We start from the raw sequence: 15,414 nt of genomic DNA on the forward strand, positions 1-15,414 counted from the left end.
TGTTTGTAAATTACATTAGCTGCTCCTTTATTGCACCCGAACCTCGGGCGACTGAAAAGCCACCGCCCCCACCCCAAACTGCGAGCCGCGCTCCTGGCGCACCCGCCTCCCGCCGGCCTAGCTGCAATGACCGCACCGGCCCGAAGGTCTCGGTCTCTCCGACCCGGGATGTGGAGCCCGAAAGAGTGGTGGGAACCCCAGCCCGGGAGGGACGCGGCCGCCGCTCGGGCCAGGTAGGACCAGGAGCCCGGGTGGGCCCCGCTGCCACCCAGAGTGGACTTTGCGGAGCTGAGATCAAGAGCCCAGCGCCTCTACCTCTGACCCTCTTGCCCCTCACCCCACTGCCTGGGCGACGCGCCTGGGGAGAGGGAATCTGAAGCCCTCCTGCGCTGGCCCGCAGGAGGTCAGAGCCGGCTGCGCAGCCTTGGGTGGGCGACGCGGGAAGGGGGTGGAGGACCCCAGGGGTTGGGGGAGGGGGCTAGTCGGAGAGCTCAGCCTTCTCCACGCGGAGAGGCGGAGGAGGGAATTGTTGGCGGCTCTGGACGCCTCTCCCCGGCCTGATTCCGAAGCGGCCGCCCTACCTCCTCCGGCAATCTTGCTCACTTTCCTCCGGCAGCCGCTCCCCAGGCTGGCTGGGGCCACCAACGGCCTGATGATGGGCGTCTGAAGAGTAGCCAGGCCAGGTGCCGGGGCTAACGGGGCCGGCTCCGTGCCTCCCTGCTGCGCTCCGCCCGGGCCCCGGCCGGGGCCCCGCTGCCGGCCCCGCCTAGCCCAGCGCCCGGCTTGAGTGCATGGCCAGGCCGACTCCAGCTGTTCCGGATGCGGGGCGGGGGCCCGGCGGGAGCCAGGCCGCGGCTGGGGCTTTGCTCTCAGGAACTCGCAGGGAGGCCAGGCTTCCAGTTAGGCTGGGGCTAAAGACCTTAGGGCCCGGGATCTGTGAATATCGGGAGAACATGTTGTGTGCATTGTTACTTGAAGGTGTTTGTGTTTTTGAATGTGTGTTTGTGTGTGTTTCTCCATGCGTATATTTGTGTAAATGTGTGTGAACCTGTGGGTATATAGGTGTGTTTGAACTCAGCTATTTCTTTCATTTCCCTGAGGCATTCCAGCAGGGCTGTGCCCTCAGGCCTTCCTGTCTTGCTACCCCATTCTGTTTATGTGGGGCCACTGGCCTCCTTACTAATTTTCCATTTCTGCCCTTGGAGAAAGGAGGGGAGGACCTAGAGGGGGTTGGAGTCCAGGGAGAAGGGCTGTTCCCCTCCCACACACACACAGCCCTGGCCCTGGCTTTGTTTGTAAACTCCTGGGTGGGCGGTGAGGTTGGGCATTGGGCAGCACCGCTTGGACCAGAAAAGGGCCCAGAGAGGCCAAAGTGAGGATTTGTGGCCCAGGCCAAGGGTTGGAATGGGAAGATTAGGATTTCTTGCCCCCTCTCCCCTCATATCTAACCCCAGAGAGGGAGTGAGCTAAGCTGGGCTCCGGGGCGGGAAGCAGGTTCTTTCTCTGGATGCCTCAGCGTAGGGGGCCTCTGCACAGCAGAGATAGGTTTCATGATCTCACCTTCAGTTGTTTGTTTGGAATTGTGGCTGGCAGCTCTCTGGGGTAAAAAGGACAGTGTAGGGAGAAAGGGTTCTTGTTTGGTGCCCCAGTTCTGTGAATGTTGGGAAGAACCCCTACCCTCTAACTCATCTTTGTCCTGCATTTTCGGGGTGGCAGTAAGCGAGTGGGGGGAAGACAAATGCTCAGAGGCAGGATTGGTGAGAATGGGAATCACAGTTCCCTCAGAGCTGCAGACCCACTCCAGGGCAGACCTGTCTCTACTCTTCTGCGCTGCCCTGGGAGCCACGAGGTGCTGCTGGGCCTAGCAACAGAGGAGTCAGAGCCTAGAGACCAGCAGAGGCGGACCGGTGGGAGAGGGCGTTGGGGAGCTGAATCTGGGTGGCTTGGAAGCTCTGGGGCCAAGAGGGGTCAGTCCTCTCACTTCCTGCCCTCAGGATCCCATTTCAGCCTTTTCCTGCCATAACCCCAACCCCCTGACCCAGAGCCTCAGGCAAGTGAGGCTAGCAGGGAGGCAGGGAGGCCCCTCTAGATCCAGGAACAAGGACCCTTGGATCCCAATAGAGAGAAAGAGAGAGAGAGAGAGAGAGAGAGTTCCTCCCATACTTCCACACCCTTCCTGTCCTCTTCAGTCTTTGCATCGCATCTGGTACTAGCCCACAGGATAGGACTTTAAGGACAAGCCAATCCCCTGCTGTTGCCCATCTCCCAGATCCTCAAGACCAGCGGAGTTCAGGGTTACTGGGAAGCTGACAGGAAGGGGAACATGAACTGGGGAGCAGAGGGGTCCCTCTGCTTGGCGTGTTCTTAATGTCTTATCCTGCTGGCTAGTACTGAGATCTTTAGTCTTCAGCCACACCATGTCAAAAGGAACACGACGTCTCACAATCATCTGCTGAGTTACCTCCACCACCAACACCAAACCTCTTCTTCCCTGGCTGACCTGTACCTGCTGTCCAATCCTATGGCTTGGCTCTTTTGACCTAATTGGTTGGCCTCTTGGTTAAACACACTTGGGCACACCATATGGCTGGGGTGTGGAGTGCAGTGTGAGGTGCAGGGATGTGGGGAAGTCTGTGGTATCACCCTGTGTTTTGTTGTTTTGATTCACCCAGATCCCCTTATCCAGGCCACCTTTGGAAACCAGCCCACCTGCTACACCAACCTTTTCCCAACACCGTGGTCCCACCCCTACCTTCGCTGCTGAAAAACCGCATTGTGTGGGGGTCTGGAATCTTCTGGACTCCTGGGACCCCAATCCGCTTGCCTCTTGTACCCCTCTTGCAGAGCAATGAGGTATGTTTTGGGTTTGTGTACTGACCCCTACCTGCCTCCTCTGCCAGACCTGAGGGCAGGAGCCTTCCTCTGGGTATTCCAGTTCATCTCGGACCTTCGAAGTCCTAGGAGACACCGGGCTCCCGCTGAATATCGGTTGAATGACTTTCCATAGAGCAAATGGGGTATACATGATTGTGCAATGTGGAGGGGAATGGTTTGGGCCCCTCAGAGGAGTTTAGAGATTAGGAGGATTCCAGAAATGAGTAACACAGGGTCAGTGGGGGTAGAGCCAGCCCTGACATTCTGGGCTCCAATCTTTCTGCCCAATCCCCTACTGAGCCCCCATGCTGGGGCAAGGCAGACACTCTGGGGGTCTCCCCACCCCCAGTCAGCTGGGCCAGCATCTTCTCACCTGGAGCTGAAAGCAGCTGATTCCCAGAGTCTGCTCCACAGAGGGAATACCTGTCTTCAGAGCATAATCTATATGCTACCATGATCCTCAATTCCTGTTTGCTGCTTAAACAGCCAGGGTCCAGGTTTATTCTTTCTCAGTGGATAGGGAAGGGATCATTCTGCCAAAAATCTGCTTTCCCTCAGTTTAGGGAATATTCCAGACAAAGAAGAGGGAAACAGCATTTCATGAATTGCCACAATAAGGGGACCCTGCAGACCCAAACAAAACAGGTTAAACCTTAACACAGGAGAAGAATTCGCTTAAACCCCCAAAGACTCCATTGGATTCACTCTGGATTGTTTTGGTACCCCCATTCATTTCCAGATTATTTGTATAAGCACCAGCATTGACTCTCAGGCCAGAGTTCCTTTAGAGAAAAGGGTCTGACACTGCTTGAAACAAGTTAACTTGGCCAGCAGTGCGGATCATTTTACTGTTGTTGTTGTTGTCCCATGAAGACCTGCTACTCTGACACTCTGTGTGGAATTCAGAGTGTTTCTTCTCCTATGGAAGTGGACTATGATAAACGGCCTCCTGCCACCCAGGCTAAGTCAGGACTGCCCACTTGGTTTTTACATTTTGCCCTGGGCCACTGTCTGCAGTAACAGCAACAATAACCATGACAATAAATACCATAAGCCCTTACCTTGTGCCTGGCTCCAGGCTAAGAGTTTTATTCATTTCATTTATTACTCACAATCTTTCTAGGTAGCTATGCTCTTACCCCGATTTTACATAACAGGAAAATGAGGCCCAGAGAAGTTAAGTAACCCATCCAAAGTCACACAGCCTGTTTTGGAGTGATCAGGATTGGAACACTGTCCTTTTGTTTTGTTTTGTTTCTTATTCAAGTCTGTCCCCTTAATTCCTGAACCAGGGGGTTCTTAACCAGAGGTCCCCCAAGGGCTCTTTGAATGGGCTTCAGGGGCTCTGTAAATCTCAGAAATTTATATGTGTACCCAGGTGGGCACATTTTTCTGGGAGCAATATTATATAACACCCAGGATTCTCAAAGCGGGTGGGGATCCAGAAAAGGTAAAGGCTGGAATCAGGCCACTGTAGGGAAGGGAGGCAAGCCACTGGGGAAGGGGGATGGAAGCGGCCTCCTCCCAGGCCTGGGGAGCAGGGAGGCAGCTGCTTCAAAATTCAGGCTGGGCTCCAAGCCTGCTCCTGGACCTGCCCTGCTTTTTCTGGCCACACCCAGCTCTTAGGACCTCAGCTGGCAGGAAGACGTGGGGCACCATCTGAGGGCAGGACACTCCTTTGGTCCCCTCCCTGATTCTCCCCTTCCCTACTTCTTTTGTGAGCTGAATTCCTTCAGAGCACTGTGACAAGGTGACCATACCACATGCACCAGCCTCCTCCAGGCACTGTAATCCTGCTTGGAAGGAGCGGGGAGTGCTTGCCCTTTGGAAGTACTGGGGGACATAGACAGACCACTGAGTGACAGAGACAGGAAGGGAGGAGAAGAGACAAGTTCCCAGAGATGCTCAAGTCCTGGGTGCCCACTCTCTGCAGCCTCTAGAACAGCCTTCTCTTTTGGTTCCAAGCTTTTGCTCCCCTCATCCAAGGGTTGGGATGATTTGTGTCCCTTCCTTTCCTGGCACCTCCTGCTCTGTCTCTAGTGCTCAACTCATTTCCTGGGGGAAACCTTCTCTGCCCTGTTCAGCTCCTCTGCGCTCCTTAGCACATTCCCCTGGATGTCACTGTCATATTGCCAAGAATGTGTTGCTTTGTCTGTCTGTCCTGCCTCTCTCTCTCCATCTGTTGTGAACTTGGGAAGGAAGGACCTGAATCACCTCTCCATGCCCCTATGCCAGCCCAGCATACACCAAGGGGTCCAAGCATTTGTTGAGTAAATAAACTAAATAAATAAACAAGGGACAAAAATGGAGCCAGACAGGGAACTTAGCCTGTGCCTCAGAGAGAGGACCAGGGGTAGGTGTATTGGTTTTGCCAGCTGCCTGCAGATGCGTGCGGTGCTCCTACTGCTCACACCAATATACTCAGAGGGGCCCAGAAGCCTCATTCTCTAATGCTTTTTGGCTATGGAGTGAGTTTCCTGGGTTGTGGACCCAGCTGTGGTGGTGTGGTCTGACTTAGTAATGAACTTCCTTCATTTGCTTTTTTTGTTTGTTTTTGAGATGAGGTCTCACTATGTCACCCAGGATGGAGTGCAGTAGCACAATCTGGGCTCACTGCAGCCTCGACCTGCTAGGCTCAAGTGATCCTCCCACCTCAGCCTCCCAAGTAGCTGGGACCAAAGGAGCATGCCACCAAGCCCAGCTAATTTTTGTATTTTTTGTAGGGATGGAGTTTCATGATGTTGCCCAGGCTGGATTTTTTTTTAAATAGGATTAAGGCCGGGCGCAGTGGCTGGGCCTGTAATCCCAGCACTTTGGGAGGTCGAAGAGGGCAGATCACTTGAGGTCAGCAGTTTGAGACCAGCCTGGTGAACATGGTGAAACCCTGTTTCTACTAAAAATACAAAAATTAGCCGGGTGTTATGGTATGCTCCTGTAGTCCCAGCTTCTCGGAGGTTGAGGCAGGAGAACTGCTTGAACCTGGGAGTTGGAGGTTGCAGTGAGCCGAGATCGCACCACTGCACTTTAGCCTGGGTGACAGAGCAAGACGCTGTCAAAAAAAAAAAAAAAAAAAAAAAAAGAAAGAAAGAAAGAAAAGAAAAGGAAAGGAAAGAAAGAAAATAGGATTGACCCCCCCATCATTCGTTGGGCCCAGAAGCAGAGAGGAAGAATGGACAGAAGATGGGAGGTGATGGGCAGGCAGGAGTGGCAGGAAACAGACACCCACACGCCACTCCAGTAGCCCAGGGGTCTGTGAAGAGGATAAAGGAACCTAAGTGAGCATGTGTGTGTGTGTTGGGGGGGGGGGCGCGGTGTGGGGGGAGAGTCTGGTTCTGTTCCTGATGGAGGTGGCATTTGAGTTGAACTTTGTAAAACCAGGAGCATGTAAATAGGTGCAGGAGCAGGGACCATCCTGGAGGCAAAGGGAACAGCCGAGCACAAGCCCGAAGATGCCACCCTAAGAGAGGTTCCAGAGTTCCCTATAGCTCCTCCCTCTGTTGTCCTGGCGGTGAGCTACTGGGTAAGGGTGAAACCCTTAGTCTCTTGTTTATCGGCAGCAGGTCTGCAGCCTAGAGCCAGGGGCTGCTGGACTCCTGGGATGGCTATTTACTTATTTATGGGGTGGGGTGAGGGGTGGGGATGGGATGAGAGAGGCTGCTTTCCTGGGCCTACAATTGGAGTTCCCTTCTCCTTGCCATCCCCAGAAACTCCAAGAGCTGACCCTCTGTCTTACTAACTCAAACGGCCCAGAAACATCAAAGTCTGACCAAAAACCGTTAATGGTAGTCAGCTCCCTCCCTTTCACAGAGGTCTCACTACTGTCGGGGGGCGCCGGGCGCAGGCCGGGCATGGGGCCTGAGCTTAGGCCAGGTGGAAAGGTGGAAGGACCTAGTGGGGACAGACGAAGAGACCGAGGAGCCGCCCGCCCGGCTAAATGGACACAGGAAAGGCCTGAGTCAGGCTTCTCATAATAAATAAACTGCACGTGAATAATTCAGCAGTCGCGCGGGGGCCGGTTGCATCAGCGCCGCCGCCGCCGCGCGGCGCCCAATTCCCCGCGGAGGGGAGTAGCCAATTAAGGCACTTGAAAAGGGAGTCGGGTGGAAGATCCCCCGCCCACCAGTATCCTGGATTTACCCAGGTCGAGTTCAGAGAGCCTCCCCGGTCCCAACCCCCTCGGGCCCCATGGGTCAGGGGGCCGCCTGCTGGGAAGTGCTACCTCAGCTAAGCCGCTCAGGTGTCCCGAGACTCCGGGCAAGGGAAGACAGGCGGCGAGACGGAGCCAGAATAAGGGATGCGGACGTCTGACCTGTGGAAAACCCAGCATCTGCAGTGCCCAGCCGCACAGGGAACGTGGGCGGCGTGGTTCCAAGCACAGTGAAGACGCCAGGCTCGGATCTGTGCTCAGAGCCGGGATCCCTCCGGGCTGCTTCGTCCTGGCCAGGACTTTCCTTGCCCTGAAGTGAGGCGCCAGGGAAGCTGCAGGGCCCTCCGCCCTCTCTGAACTCCCACGTACTTGGGCCTCTCCCAGCCTTTCTTGGACCTGTGGAAGCAATTCCTGCAGGACCAGACTCCCCTGTCTCCCCGCGGCCCCCTAGGTACACTCCGTAACTTCCGAAACCTTATTTCGTTTGAGCGAAACCCGGCCCCTTTGGCTCTTCCCACTTCCCACAAGTCCCTGGGTTCCCGATCCTGAGGGATTGCATTCATCCCATCTCACACCCACCAACGCTCAATCCCTCCAGTTCCTCCCCAGCCCCTTCACTTCCATTAATTAGGTCGACTCCCTTCCTTCGCCGCTCCCTCCTGTCCCCACTCAGCCTCCCTACACCTATGCGGCGAGCCTCGGGCCAAGACCTCCGCCCTGGCTCCGCCAGTCCTGCGGGGGCCGGCATGCACCAGACCTCAAAAGGGATCTTCACGGGAATTCCGCATAGCCAGATCCCAAGCCTCCAGGGAGGCCACCAGCCCTCCCCCATCTTCTTCTTCCTCCTCCGTCTCCTTTCCTCTTCCCTCCGCCTCTACGTATTTCTTTCTATTCGTTTCTTTTCGTTTGGTGAGGTGCCACCCGCCACAGCCCTGTCCCCTAGGGAGAGGCCTGGACTAACTTTGCCGTCCTCGTGGCCTTAGCCCGGACTGTGAGTCTCGAGCGGCTTCCGAGAGGCAGCTCGGGTGTCTTCGCAGAGACAGATGAGGTGGGCTGGCGATTCCCTAGCCTCAGATGGCTCTGCCACCAGCCAGCTCTGTGATCCTGGGTAAGTCTTTCAACCTCTCTGAGTCTTGACGTTGGTAAAAGGCAGGAGATTTAGAGAAGGTGTTGGGAGACTAAATCTTTTCATTCGTTTGAGAAAGGGAGTCGCCTGTGTTGGGACCTAAGGAGGAAGTGAGGTTCTTGAGAATTCTAGATCTGAAATGGCCGTTTGTTTTAACGAGTATTTTGGGAGCAGCTGATAACTTTTTATTTTTATTTTTATTTTTTACAGCCGATGGGGTGCCAGGCATTAGAAACCTTCCCTCCAATCCTCACCATGTCTCCATTTTGCCAAAGAAGAAACTGAGGTTAAGGTCGCGATGCTCTGGCCAGCATCACAGGTGGGATTCGAACGCAGATGGGGTTTGGAGCGGCTCTTGTGTTTAAGCCACACAGTCTGACGTTAGACGGGTGAATCCAGCCCTCGCAGGGCCTGGAGTGACCTAAGCCGAGAGGAGCTGGGCTGAATCTCCAGGCGTTCCTTTCTTTCTGCCCTAGGAAAGCTTTGAAATTCTTATTTTCAGGTAAACGATTTTGGCAGTGCCCGGAGAAAGATAGAAGTAAGACCTAAAGAGGAACTTTCCGCATGTTATGGGAGAGCCCCTGGGGCGAGGAGGCGAGGGCAGCCTTCCCCAGGCCAAGGGAGCAGCCATCGCTCTTGGATCTGTTTTTCCTCAAGCGTCTGTCCTGTGGGGCCTAGTCCCCAAGCGGCAGTCCTGGACCTAACGGGAGAAGGGGCTGGGGGAAGAGGGCGCACCCCCAGCCCGGGACCCACAGCAGCCCTAGCCAGTCCCCCACTCTCTCCCTCTGTAGGGGCCTCTCTCTGAGATCGGGTCCTCCTCCTGCAGGGCAGCAGAGTGGAAGCCAGGGCCTGGGACCCTCTGGCTGGGCAAGGAGGGACTGGAGTCCGGCTCCCGGTGACCCCGTCCCCAGTGCCAGCGGTGGGGTCGCCTGTGGCGGCCCGGACAGGCCACGGGTCCCTCTCCCCAAGTCCCATTACGTTGTATTTATGTTTCATTTTATAGTTTTTTTTTCCTCCTCCCTTATTATTGTCTCACTCTGGGGGAGGCAAAGGATATAATATATTCATCTTTATTATACCAAATCTGTGTGAAGCATTTAATAAAACGCTGTTTCCACACAGCCAGGGATATTAGTGTGAGCTATCCTTAAGTTAATGCTCCTGGACTGAGGGCGCCGCTGCCACAGCGCCTGCTGCCGGCGGGTCGCGGGAAGCGTAGGCCCTGGCCGCCGCGCTCCCCGCGCGGGTCCAACGCCCTGGGTGCCCTTCTCGCCTGCGCCTTGAAGCCCCCACGCCCATCCTAGCGCGTCTCTCTGTGACCTCTCGGCCGCCAGCCTGGGAGGAGGGGTTTGGAAGAGCCGAATTCAAGCACCCTTCCTCTCCCCTGCCACACCCTGCATTTCGAATCCGCTGTGGGCCTTGGCTTGCATCTATGAAAATGGGAAGAATTCCATCACTGCCTCCCTCTCAGGGATCTTGAGAGGCCGAAGATGCCTTGAAGGTGGACAGGATTTTTTAAACAGGAAAGAAAAAATCGAGAATTTGTAAGGTCAGGATCAATGAGGGCCAGAGAGAAATAGAGAGGCTGCAGGAGTGGTTTCAGGCAACACAGAGCGAGCTGGACCCCAGGCGAGCAGACAGGGTGCAACTCCAGTTTGGGCAGAACCCAGGAGGTTTCGGCATGCCTGGGCCTCACCCCAGCCCACGAAGACAGCTGAACCTAGTCAGGATCTCGGCCTGTCACAGTTGGCCCTCTCATAATCCTCCCTCTAGGTAGGAAAATAGTCTTTTTAAGTCCAGTTTTACAGCTAGCAAACTGAGGCTCACAAAGATCACGTGGCTTGTTTGAGGTGAACAAACTAGGAAGTAGTGTAGCTGGTCACACTGTCTTCCAGACTCCATGCCCCTCCCCGCCCCCATTCTCCAGGGTTTTTCTGTAAACCTTACATTCTGCCTTCTACACACGCGCGCGCGCACACACACACACACACACACACACACACACATCCCTACCTGGAGATGCCCATGGGAAGGAGAAACACCCTCATTACTTTCTATATCCAGGCCCACTGCTCAGTGTCTTTCAGAGCCCACCACCTGGCTTCTTATAGGGCCCAGATCTGGGCACACCATTCTTACTTAGGCTGCTTGTACCTGTGCTGTAGGGGAGAGGGAGTTGGCTGTAACCAGGCAAAGCCAGGCAGAAGGAGTCATGCAGGACAGGCTTGAAGTGGGCAGGTGAGTCTCCCTGGCTAGAATCCATACTCTCCTAGGAATCTCAGTCTTCCTCTGCCCCCATCACCCCATCCCTGGGAGTGGGGGCTGCACAAGCTCAACACACATCCTGTAGGCTGCTGGTCAGAGCTCCTTTGGAGACTTAAGTTACTTGAGAAATCTGACAGTTCCCCCCTGGGGCTGGCTGGGGAGGAGGCACAGACTGTGTGGCAGGGCTAGGACTAGGGTGAGGCATGTGAGGTGCCATATTTAAGGAAGGCATCTGCTCTCAGCTCTGTGTGTGATCCCTTAGGTTTTGTGCCGTGGGCATCTCACTCGCCTCACCCTAGTCCCAGCTCTACTGTGTGGTCTGGGAGTTAGAATCAAGTCCAGTGAACTGCTGAGAGGGGACAGGGAGGCTGATTTCAGCTCATCCTTGAGAATGGCTTTCTGAAGGATCAAAGTGGAAACAATGGAATGAGCTTCCCCCAACACATGGAGTATGCAAGCAGGGCTTAGCGCTTGCTAAGAAGGAAAATAATCACGGTCTTATTGTCATCACCAATATTGTCCTCATTTGACCATCACTTTGTGTCAAGTAAAAGCTGTCATCACATTGTTTCATTTAATGTATATAAATATGTTTTAGCTGAATATGGGATATCAGAGTCTCTGACTTTGGGGTCCTTTCCAGCTCCAAGAGTCCATTGTTGCATAAGACAAAGAGCACTTCTGTTGATTTTTGTTGGTTTGATGCATTGTCATTATTTGTGGACTTATAGTCTTATACTAATGGATAAGACTTTGAGGGCAGGGACTGTGTCTAATCACATTTTTTTAAATGATTCCCTCTCCTGTTCCATGCTGACCACGGGCCTGGGGCACATAGAAGCTGTTCAATAAATGTGTATCAAACAAACACATGAGTAAACCAGTGTCTAAAAGCTGTCTGCCTACCTGGCCATCTGCTTTCCGGGCTGTGACCGACAGAGCCACTAGGGTGGCCACTGGGGGAACAAGAACCACCTCTGCAGTCATTATCCCCCTTATTCTACAGCTGAGCTGAGTTCAAGTGGGCATGTCTAGAGCCTCCCCTGACATCACATGCCTAGCCCTTTGCTAGTTTGTGGATAAGACAAGGGCCAGCCCAGGTTCTGCCTGTGCAGAAGGATCTCAAGACTCATACTGGACAAATCTCTTAAGAAACCATTCAGATGGTGAGGGAAGCCTCTGCAGATCAGAGCAGAGAAGGGCCTATAGCCAGAGAAGCCTGGCTGGCAAAGCTGAGACTAGAGCTAGTCCTTGAAGCATGAGAAGAATTGAGTGGTTGGAGGGAAGAAATAGACAATTCTTGCCGGGTGTGGTGGCTCACATCTGTAATCCCAGCACTTTGGGAGGCCAAGGTTTACTTAAGGCCAGGAGTTTGAGACTGGTCTGGCCAACATGGTGAAACCCCGTCTCTACTAAAGATACAAAAATTAGCTGGGTGTGGTGGCACATGCCTGTAATCCCAGCTACTTGGGAGGCCGAGGCAAGAGAATCACTTGAACCAGGGAGGCAGAGGTTGCAGTGAGCCGAGATCGCACCACTGCACTCCAGCCTAGGCAACAGAGTGAGACTCCATCTCAAAAAAAAAAAAAAAAAAAGAAGAAGAAGAAAAGAAATAGACCATCCTAGGTTGGATGGGGAGCAAGAGCAACGGGACAGAGGCAGGAATGGCCACAATCATTTTGGGGAGCAGGCAGGCTAGCCTGGCTAGAGTACCAGAAGAAGACAAGTAGGAAAAGGCATTTGTGGAATGCCTTGAATCTCCAGGCCCAGACCCAGAGAACAGAAAATGGGGTTCAGAAATCAGAATCCACATCCTAGAGCCTAGAAACCAAAGCCTAGAACTCAGAAAGCAGGGGCAAAGTTCAGGACCCAGTCTTGTCTAGGGCAGTCCCATTAGCTGCTGTAACAGGATGCCTTGGGGACTCCAAACTCAAGGGGCATGATCTTATTGGGAAACAAAGTGGACTCTTCTAATTGGCTTAGTCCAGGAAACCAGAGATCTGACCCAAGCACAGGAGCAACTTGGGTCTGCCTGAGACTTGCCCTCCAGGACTGGCATGAGCAGCTGTCTTGGGTCCTCCCAAATCACAGCCTGAAGCCTGGCATTATCTGCAGCCCAGCAAGCACCCTGAGCTGGAACAGGTGTTGCCTACCAATATACACCTTCACACCCCTCAATCCTCCCTTTTATTCTCTAATACAGGTGGGATCTGAGATTTTAGGCTAGACCCAGCTGGGGCAGGCCTCTGGAGGGTGGAGCCATGGTGCCTGCAGCAGTGCCAAACGAGCCAGCGTGTAGGCGTTACTGCGCCGGCCTGTCGCGGGGCGCAAGCCTGCCAAGGAGCCGGAGCGCTGTGCCGCGTGGAGGGTGTCAGGGGTGGTATTGTCGGCGCACAAATGCTCAACTTTATGTACTTTTAACTAGAGGTGTAACAGATGGCCCCGTTTCTGTCCAAGCCAGGGAGACTGGTGCCCATTCCGGCTGCAGCCAATCAATCCCGTCACTCTGGGGGGAGCTACAAGCTGGGCTGGGAGGCCTGGAGCCAGCAATTGCGCAAGGCTGTCTGCTCAGGCTGGCCCAGTGCAGCCTCCGCCAGCCGCTCAGCCATCGGCCTGGGGAGGTAGGAGGTCAGGCAAGTGGCAGCCATGCCTGGAGCCTGGTCAGAGGCCTACCTGGGAGGGAGAGCCTGAAACCACTCATCAGACCCCACATGGCCAATGAGTACATCAAGGTGCCAACTCACTCCACTGTGTCCTCATTCTCCTGTGGTCCTTGCTCAGGACCTAACTCCCAGATCTCTAGCTTCAAGAAGCTTTGGATCTATAGCCCTGTAGTGTCCTGTGTTATGGACAGCAGACATTGCTCAGGACTGGGGGTGGGTAGTGATGCCATTGAGAAATAGTCACAGGACTGTGAAAGGCTTCAAGAAATGCCCAAGACAGCCTAAGAAGAAGAGAAAACAGCAGGAGCCAGGGATCCCAGAGCTGAGAGAAACTGTGGATTAATCTATTATTATATTTGTACAGTCAACAAACACTTAGTGAAAGCCTACTGTGAGCTAAGACTTTTATTAAGCACTGAGGACACAATGATGAATAAGACACAATTCCTGTCCTTGAGACCTTTTTGGGGGAAGACAGACAAGTACACGGGTAATTGGAGCAATGAACTGGGGCCCATAAAATCTCCAAAAAGACTGCGGAAGCACAGAAGAAGAGCATTTAACTGCCTGAGAGATCCAAGGAAGATTCCAGTAGGGGGCTGGTTCTGAGCTGGGTTTTAAAAGACAGGTAGGAGTTTTCATGGGAGGTGAGGGCGAAGGGCATCGGAAAGGGAAGGGATGGCATGAGCAAAGACATGGTAAGAAAACATGGTGAAGGGAAGTGTCTGAAAAGATGTGAGTGGAACTGGGGTCTGGGATTTGGGAGAAGGAGTGGAGGGGATGAGGCTGGGCAGGGGAGGGGGCAGGCCTAACCCTGTTTCAGCAGGCTGGCAACCTGACCCAGCAGGTGTCTTCCCCCAGTTGGCCCTTCTGTCACCTTCTGCCCCTTATCCTGGTGCCACAGGGAAGGAAAGTCCTAGCAGGGTGTAGGCAAGTGGTCCAGAGTGCTCCAGTCCTGGCCTGCCTTCTGTCCTGCGTTGAGGGACAGGGCTGTCAACGAACTCTCCCCTAACCGTCTACCCAATGGACTTCTGAGTCTCCTAAAAACAGCATTTCTGTAGGCTCCCCACAAAGGCTTTGGAACCTTATTCATTCATTCATTCTTTTATTTACCAAGCATTGGGCATCAGCTGTCTTCAACGCCCAGGCAGGATACTGAGGTAGACAGACTATTGTGCTGGACTTCGAGAAGCTCAAGTCCAGACATGAGAGGAAGACAGGGGTCTGGGCAGGGGTCCTTCTGTTTGCAAGAAACAGAGGTTCACTTGAGTAATCACAAGAAAAAGGAAGGCCTTTTGTATTGAAAAACACGGCTTGTCATTGGAACTGGGCCCAGAAAGCACGCAGGGACCAAAGAAGCTCTGGGGACCAACTTCTCTCTCCTGGTCAGGTGGAAGGGAACCCCACAGGGTCTCTTTCTTCTTTATCTCTTTCTTCATTATTATTAATGAAATTAATAATTATTATCATAATAAGTGGAGGAAGAATAATTGTTAACAAATTCTGAGCCAGATCTATTGATTTCCATGCTTATCTCCATTAATCCTCTTTAGAACACCGTGCAGTTAGTTAATATCATTACCCCCATTTTACATATGAGAACACCGAGGCTCAAGGAGGTTAGGTAAGCTGCTCCAGGTTCAAGCCAGGAAGTGGCAGAGTAAGGATTCTCACTCAGGTCAGCCTCCCAAGCTCCAGCTCATAACTGCTTCTGACCCCCGTGCAGCACCGAGAGCTTCCTGGGTTTCCTCATAATTTCTCATAACCGTGACTTGCATTTGACCAGCCGGCCTCTCTGAGTCTCTCTCTACATCACCTCTGCTAACTGCTCTAGTCTCTCAGTATTTCATAGTTCAAATTCCCAGGAGAGGAAATCGGATTGGCCCAGCTCATCTTTTAACGCCAGGACACATTGTAAACAGCTGCCCAGCCAAAGAGCTGGCTGGGAGTGGAGCCATGTGCAGTCACCAATCAGCATCTTTGAAAGAGCAAAGCACAGAAATAATACAGTAAGGAGGAAATGCGAATGGTTACAGGAAGAAATGTGAGGTGCAAAAAGAGGATGAGAGGAGGCTTCATGGAGGATAGTTTGTGGTTTGAGTCTCGAAATAAGAATAGGATTTGAGGGGCAGAGTTGGAGCCAAGGAGTTTCTGAAGGAGGAAACAGCATGAACACAGGCACAAGAGTAGGATTGCATGAGTCATGTTCAAAGGCCTCTGTATAAACTAGGAGAGAGAGGTAGAACAGAGCTGGAAAGGTGGGACTAGAATGCCAGCACAAGGAGTCTGAACTGAATTCAGTGGGGGTCATGGAAGGTCTCTGAGCTGGAGAGGGATGT

General features: G+C 53.4%; 1 long non-coding RNA gene across 1 annotated transcript, besides 1 other annotated feature; it reads left to right on the forward strand.

Moving 5' to 3' along the window:
• Nucleotides 13-9,278, forward strand: LBX1-AS1 (LBX1 antisense RNA 1). The gene is made up of 3 exons (NR_029380.1): nucleotides 13-233; nucleotides 2,673-2,853; nucleotides 8,358-9,278. It is a non-coding gene; the product is annotated as an LBX1 antisense RNA 1 (long non-coding RNA).
• Nucleotides 6,457-7,379: an enhancer, noted in NCBI's record as "H3K4me1 hESC enhancer chr10:102995795-102996717 (GRCh37/hg19 assembly coordinates)". NCBI's record gives its function as "activates a minimal SCP1, AML or CMV promoter by ChIP-STARR-seq in naive and primed H9 embryonic stem cells {active_cell/tissue: H9 hESC(naive and primed)}" and the evidence as "EXISTENCE:reporter gene assay evidence [ECO:0000049][PMID:30033119]".
• Nucleotides 9,279-15,414: the final 6,136 nt, after the last annotated feature.

Source organism: Homo sapiens, chromosome 10, assembly GCF_000001405.40.
Source record: "Homo sapiens chromosome 10, GRCh38.p14 Primary Assembly".
Lineage (NCBI taxonomy): Eukaryota > Metazoa > Chordata > Mammalia > Primates > Hominidae > Homo > Homo sapiens.